Here is a 6942-nt window from a genome sequence, read left to right as displayed (position 1 = left end):
AGTGTATCTATGCGAGTGTAGGTGACTGCATGTGCCTGTGCATGTACTAAAAGAGCCAGTTAACTCTGGAGCTGCAGTTGCTGAAGGTGGGGGCAGAGAGGAAAGCCCACAGTGCCAAGGAGTCAGGCCAGCTCAGGCTAACAGAGGGTGCTGGGGAGCGCACAAGGCTTTCTCTCTCACCCTGGCACCAATAAACTCTACACTGGAGCGGTTATAGCTGATGGAGCCACCAAGGCACAGTGGCCATGCCATGTGCCCAGTGCCCATGCCATGTGCCCAGTGCCCAGCTGTGGACAGCAGAAGTGCCCCTCCAAGAAGGCCACACCTCCAGAGTTTCCCTGCGCTGCTGAAGGCCAGGAGCCACAGCCATAGGAAGGAAAGGACTTCCCGATGAATTCTTTGTATGTTTTCATAGACAGAACCGAAGACAGCCTCAGAACCAGACACTTGCAGACAGCCCAGCTTCCATGAGGGAAGGCCATGGTCAGGCTGGTTTAGTATGACCCAATCTTTTCAGGGCACTCAAAGAATGGAGTGTCATTGTTTTCCCTCATCCTCCAGAAGCCCAAAGATAGAGCCCTACCAGCCCCCAGGGGAAAAAGAACCTGTTTTTCAGTTGCTAATTATTCCTGCCTGGGCTCAAATGGGAAGAATTCTGAGAAGAAAGGGAGTCTCCCCAACGCTGACTGAACAGAGGCCTGAGGACTGACTGGGGAGAGGGGAGGTAGAGAACCGTGGCTACGGGGGATCTGGCAGGGAAAGGTGCCCAAAGAGGGAAAGGGCTCCTTGTCTGGGGAGCACAGAGGTAGGGGTGGCTGGGGGAGATCCTTGGGAGGCTCCCCTGCAGGGACAGTGCTCAAGAGCCCCTCAGGAGCCTCCTGGGGCCTGAGGAGGACTTGCCTGCACCCCACCCTCATCCCGGCCACTGCTGTGACTATCAGCAAGGACAATGCCTTACTGGGGCCACGAGACTTGCTCCGTAGCCATCTGTTATACTGTGTGGAACACACTCCACCCCTGGGATGTCCCTGACCTTGAGGGAGGGGGCTGGTTCCTAGGCATCCTCAGCGGCTGGTGAAGTCCACATCACCTGTACTTGGAAGCCTCAGGAGCTTGGCCATTGAGCTGACTCAAGCACCTAAACACCCCTGCTTCAGAGTTCTCAGAGGAGAAAGGGGCTCAGGATGTCAGGGGTGTCAGTCATTTAATATGCTTCTTAACAGGAAAGTGGCCTTACTTTGTACCCCAAGATGGTAAAGCAGATATGCCAGTGGCATTGTGTGGCTGTCCCACTGGTTTGAAAGTATCCCCTCTCAAGCTGTGATCTGGATTTGAAGTGGAGAGGATTGCAGTACAGGGCTGGCCAGGGCCTCTAAGCCCCACCTCAGCACGTGTGTGTGCGCGCACACACACACACCCCTTCAGGATGTCACCACAGCTTTCTGAGCTTGGAGGTCCTGCCTCACTGCCCCTTAGCATTTCACAAATAGGAACTCAGTTCTAGTTGAGCAGTGGTCAGGGCTCCATTTGTGGAATGGCCTCGGGTTTCCCCTCAGTCCCAACACAGTTCCTGTTTCTGTTCCCTGCCGAGACCCCCTCATCAGCCCTGTGATCACACCGGCAGCTGCCCACACAGCCAACACCTGCCTACCAGCTGTGTGGCTCCCCTAGGCAAAAGGTCCCTGTGCCATGGCCCAGGGGGCCTTTCAAGCCCAGCCTCCCAGGGTTCCTCTGGGCAGAGTGCTCAGCAACCATTTATTTTAGCTCCCATCCTGTGCCCCATGTTTTGTCAAGACAGCCTTTTCCCTGGTCGTGGTGAGTCCTCACCAGCCCTGGACTGTCTGAGGGTGGGTTTGTGCCTTTCCCAAAAGCTGCCCATGGGCACCTTTCTCCTATAGCAAAGACCAAAAACCTTAGAACCCAGATGAAGCACAAACCCTGAGGCCCCATAAAGCCAGCTGATTCATTCGTTTCAACATGTAACAGTTACTTTCCTTTTCAAAGAGTCCCCTATGGGTGTCCAGGTGTAAAACAAATCTCAAGAGGATCCCTCCCAGAGGGAACCAGGAAAAAAATGGCTAATCTGGGAAGAGTCAGAGACTAGATCTGGGGCAGCAGATCTAGACAGGCAGCAGACTCCTGGAGGGCCTGGGAATGAGCTGACAACCAGGGGGCAGGACTGGCAGCCCACAGGACAGGATCCAGTCAGAAGCATTTGGTTTGGCTCAGGCAGTATTTTTATAAATTACTACTGCAGCATCTAAAAGTTAGAAGTTTTCACATAAAAGTCTAGATTTGTGCCAGCTTTTCTTGAAAAAGCAGAGGTGCTGGCAGCTGGGCCTGTATCATGGTAACTCCCACATGGAGTGAGGCCAGGTTTGCCCCCAAGTCCCCTTGGGTCTGCCCACCACCCCTATTATGCACAGCTGCTCCTGCCCAGGTTGCCTCCGACCCTTAGCTCTGCAGGTCAAGGAACCCGCCCAGCTTGCCTCTGACCCTTAGCTCTGCAGATCAAGGAACCCAGCTTTCCTGAGGGCAGGGCAGCCTTGGTGGGAGTTTGACAGGGAGCCCTCCAGAAGTTGCCTGTGGTAAGCCTGCGGGGCTGAAGAAGGTCCTTCCTCATCCAGAATGGCCAGATGAGAATCAGCCTGGACGGCACCACTCCAACGTGCTGGGAGTACCACGATCCCATGGGGAGCCAGCCAGTCCACATCAGGGGAGCTCAGCACATGTCCAAGGTGATCTGAGAAGGGCTCCCAGGGCCACCCAAGACAAGGAGGGATTTGGGAGATTTCTGGGAATGTTAATCATCTTCCTGTTTCCTCTTAGTGGTTAACAGTAAATGTCTTTGAACAAAACATGTCCTGTGAATTTGTTTGTGGGGCAACAAAGAGGACAAGGTGGGGAGACTGAGTACTCCATAGTCAGCCTTACAAGGGAAGGAAACTCCAACTTCAAAAGATAGAGAAGTGCGAGTGAGTTTAGATCTGGAAACAAGAGCTGATCTGCTGAACCTACCAAGGCCTTGGTCACTCCTGCTCTTTCACTGTGAGCCAAAGAGTTTGCTCATGCAGTGGTATGCTGGAGCCGGGTCCTACTGGTTTGCAAAAGCTGATTGGGCTCACCTCCTTCCAACTGCACAGTGACTTCATATGGATAGCTAGAAATCAGCCACCATGGGAATATTTACAATGCAGAAATGGGCAAATGCTACAAATCAGAGCTCCCCCCACCTTATCCCCAGCCCCAGGGCAGACTGTTACATGTTTGCCTTTACACCACTGCTGGCTCTGCTGTGGACCACAAGCAGATCAGGCCCAAAACGTGCTTCTGGGCACAGGTCACACCCCAGGAAGAGAAGCTTTCAAACTCAACATGCACCCACATGTCCCAAACTGGAAAGGAACCAGGCCAGCAGTAAGCTAAACCAAAACTCAGTAGGAATTCTCAGTTGTGCTTAATTGGCACTGGCTTCCTCTTTTTTCTGATTGTTTCTCCAGAGACTCCAGGCCTGAGGAGGGCTTTCTTGTCTCTGAGGTGAATTTTCTTTTTTTCCTCTGAGCTAAATTCATACAGAAGGAGAAGGGTTGGGGCTAAAGTTCATGTTGTCACAAAACCCATTCAAAGTATTAGCTGAGCACCTTTCCACCTCCCTGGAGAGTGGACCACTTGACCCACATCCAGAAAGGGCTCTGCATTGCAGAAAGCATCCACAAGATATGTGGAATGGTGGGAGGAGGAGTTGGAAAGGGAGAAAGGAGCACTTTCTCAATAATCCTAATCTTTCTTTTCCTAGATGGCCTTGGAAACCTCCTTCACTCTCCTCCAGCCAGCCTAATTGGGGGCCACATCCATGGTTGTACCATCAGTTATGGATGTTCTTCTCAGATATCCTAATTCTTTCCATCTGTCATGCCCTTGATCCAACTAGAGCTGCTCTGCAGTATCACAGACAGCGCCAGAGCCTCGTCTCTCTTATTTTCTCCCTCCTGGATGCTCTTCCCTCCTAGCAGAGAAGTGAAAGTTGACCTCGACCAGTTGTCAGCTCCTTCCCTTCCCCTGTTTTCCTCTGGACCACATCATCCAGCTGAACCTTGGTAATTATCCACTCAAGAAAATAAAGTGATACAGGAAACAAATGTAACTGTAGTATGTGGCAAGGCTGAGAGCAAAAGTTACATAATCATAATTATGTAAATATTTGAAAGTTGATTTAACCAAAAATCGTCAAACAACCAACATAGGAGGCAACAAGAGATTCAGACCCCACTGGGATCACCATGGGAAAATCGCTGGGTGACAACCCAGCTCCCAAGTGGCACTCAGCCCATGAAACAGCAATTTCCTTTCTCAGGTGCACCTACCAACTTTTTTTCTTCTTTTAATTGAGACAGGGTCTCACTCTGTCACCTAGGCTGCAGTGCAGTGGCACAATCTGGGCTCACTATAGCCTCAAACTCCTGGGCTAAAGCGATCCTCCTGCCTCAGCCTCCTGAGTAGCTGGGACCGCAGGCACACACCACCACACCCAGCTAATTTTTTTTCTTTTTTGTAGAGTCGGGGTCTCACTATGTTGTCCAGGCTGGTCTCGAACTCCTGGGCTCAAGCGATCCTCCCACCTCAGCCTCCCAAAGTGCTGGACTTACAGGCATGAGCCACTGCACCCAGCCACCTACTGACTCTTTATATTTTCTGAGACAGAGTTTCACTCTTGCTGCCCAGGCTGGAGTGCAATGGCGCAATCTCAGCTCACCACAATATCCGCCTCCTGGCTTCAAACGATTCTCCTGCCTCAGCCTCCCAAGTAGCTAGGATTACAGGCATGCGCCACCATGCCCGGCTAATTCTGTATTTTTAGTAGAGATGAGGTTTCTCCATGTTGGTCAGGCTAGTCTTGATCTCCCAACCTCAGGTGATCCACCCGCCTTGGCCTCCCAAAGTGCTGGGATTATAGGCGTGAGCCACCGCGCCTGGCCCTACTGACTCTTCTTAGGAGGACAGCTCTTTCCTCCTGGGGCCACCTTGCTGGAACCAGCTTCCAGCTGTCAGGGCCGCCTGAGGATCCCCTCTTGCTCCCCACTCACCTTTCCTCTGACTTCTCTCCAGTTCACCTATCCTTCCTAGGATTTTTCTTTTCTATCCTGTCTTCTCAAGTCCATCCTTCCAGATCAAGGATGGACCCAGGGAATGAAGGGATGCCAAGTGCCAGGGGACGCCTGGGCAAGCCACAGGCACAGGGTACCAGCTACAGCTATTGTGGTAAACTCAGGACCAGAGAGACAGATATGGAAAAACAGGACGATGTTTATTTTAAGGTAGGCATTGGCTCAGTGGATTCACATCCAAAAAGCTGAGCATTGAACAAAGACTGAGCAGGATTTTTATAAGCAGGCTTACAGAAGCAAAACAGGCAGTTAATCATATAATGACAGGTCACATAATCTATAGCATAACTGATGACTTGGCATAACTTGTGGCTTTGCATAGCTGGTGGCCTTGTAGCTGCGTGGAAAGAAAAAACAAGAACTGGCTAAATACAGACAGACATTTGTCCTTTTTTTTTTTTCCTTCACCCTTGCTCCAGACGGGGGATGTCTGGAGCCTATTCCTTTGGTTTCGACTTCTCGAAGAGCATTATCTTATAATTGTCTTTGAAGTGAGCTTGCTAGGCAGAGAAAAACTTGCTCTTCCTTTCTTTTTAACCTTTGCCTTGCCACATTCTGGGCCTTGGCTTTTACTTCTCAGACTAGGTCACTATGACCTTCTTATAGCCTTGTCTGTTACTTTTCTTGGAGTGAATGAATGTAGTACTTACTATCTTTTTTTAATTTCTGCCTCACAGCAACGGCTGCGGCCCAGGGCTGAAAATGAGTGCTGCCAGATATTCTCACTTATCTGGGGATGGCAACCAACTCAAATATCTTTGCTTAGACCCAGAGGCTGAATCAACCAAAAAAACTTCCAGCTGGGCGTGGTGCCTCATGCCTGTAATCCCAGCACTTTGGGACGCTGAGGCAGGCAGATCAGCCAAGGCCAGGAGTTTGAGACCAGCCTGGCCAACATGATGAAACCCCGTCTCTACTAAAAATATAAAAACTAGCCGGGCGTAGTAGCAAGCGCCTGTAATCCCAGCTACTTGGGAGGCTGAGGCAGGAGAATTGCTTGAGCCTGGGAGGCAGAGGTTGCAGTGAGCCGAGATGGTGCCACTGCACTCCTGGGCAATAAGAGTGAGACTCTGACAAAATAACAACAACAAAAAAAAATGGTTCCCCCAGTCCTTGAGGAAGTTTAATTCAAACCTTTGCAGGAGGTGAGGGGAAATATTTATATTCTAGTCTTCTTCTAGGGCAACCAAATACAGAGGGTGAACCAAATCTTTTAAATTTCCGCATTAAATCAGTTTCATCTTTTGGAACCTGCCAAAATGTCATAATCATCACAACTATTATTATCGTCATCATCACTGTTATGATTCCACCTTTGCACAGTTCTGATTTTTTTTTTTTTAAGACAAGGTCTCACTCGGCCTCCCAAAATGCTGAGATTACAGCCTTGAGCCACTGCGCGAGGACTGATCTTTAGAACATGCTTTTATTTTAGTCAATTTAAAACTGAGACTTTTAATTGAAAATTGGCAGTTTAAATTCAATAGAAGACACACCACCACCAAATCCCACTGCCTTGCAGATGTTGGCTGAGTGTCCCTTCCCACTCAACAAAGCCTCACTGCCGCGCCCACCTCACTCCCAGCACTGCCTGCTGACATGAGCCACTCCCTGGGCACGGGGTTCCCAAAACATGAGAGTATCCCTGCCAAGCTGTTTCCTCCCAAATTATTTTCTGCCCTCCCTGTCAAGCCCTCCCCCACCTCCAACTCCTATCCCCAGCCAGAGACCAGCAGGTGAAACTCTCCTGTGCTAACCCTTGTCCGGGATATAAGAA

The 6942-nt window shown here is 50.4% G+C and overlaps 1 annotated feature.

Annotated features, from left to right (window-relative positions):
• Nucleotides 560-1367: an enhancer, noted in NCBI's record as "NANOG-H3K27ac-H3K4me1 hESC enhancer chr1:151832751-151833558 (GRCh37/hg19 assembly coordinates)". NCBI's record gives its function as "activates a minimal SCP1, AML or CMV promoter by ChIP-STARR-seq in primed H9 embryonic stem cells {active_cell/tissue: H9 hESC(primed)}" and the evidence as "EXISTENCE:reporter gene assay evidence [ECO:0000049][PMID:30033119]".

This window comes from Homo sapiens, chromosome 1 (genome assembly GCF_000001405.40).
Source record: "Homo sapiens chromosome 1, GRCh38.p14 Primary Assembly".
In the NCBI taxonomy this organism is placed as follows: domain Eukaryota; kingdom Metazoa; phylum Chordata; class Mammalia; order Primates; family Hominidae; genus Homo; species Homo sapiens.
This window is presented reverse-complemented; position numbering and strand designations above follow the sequence as displayed.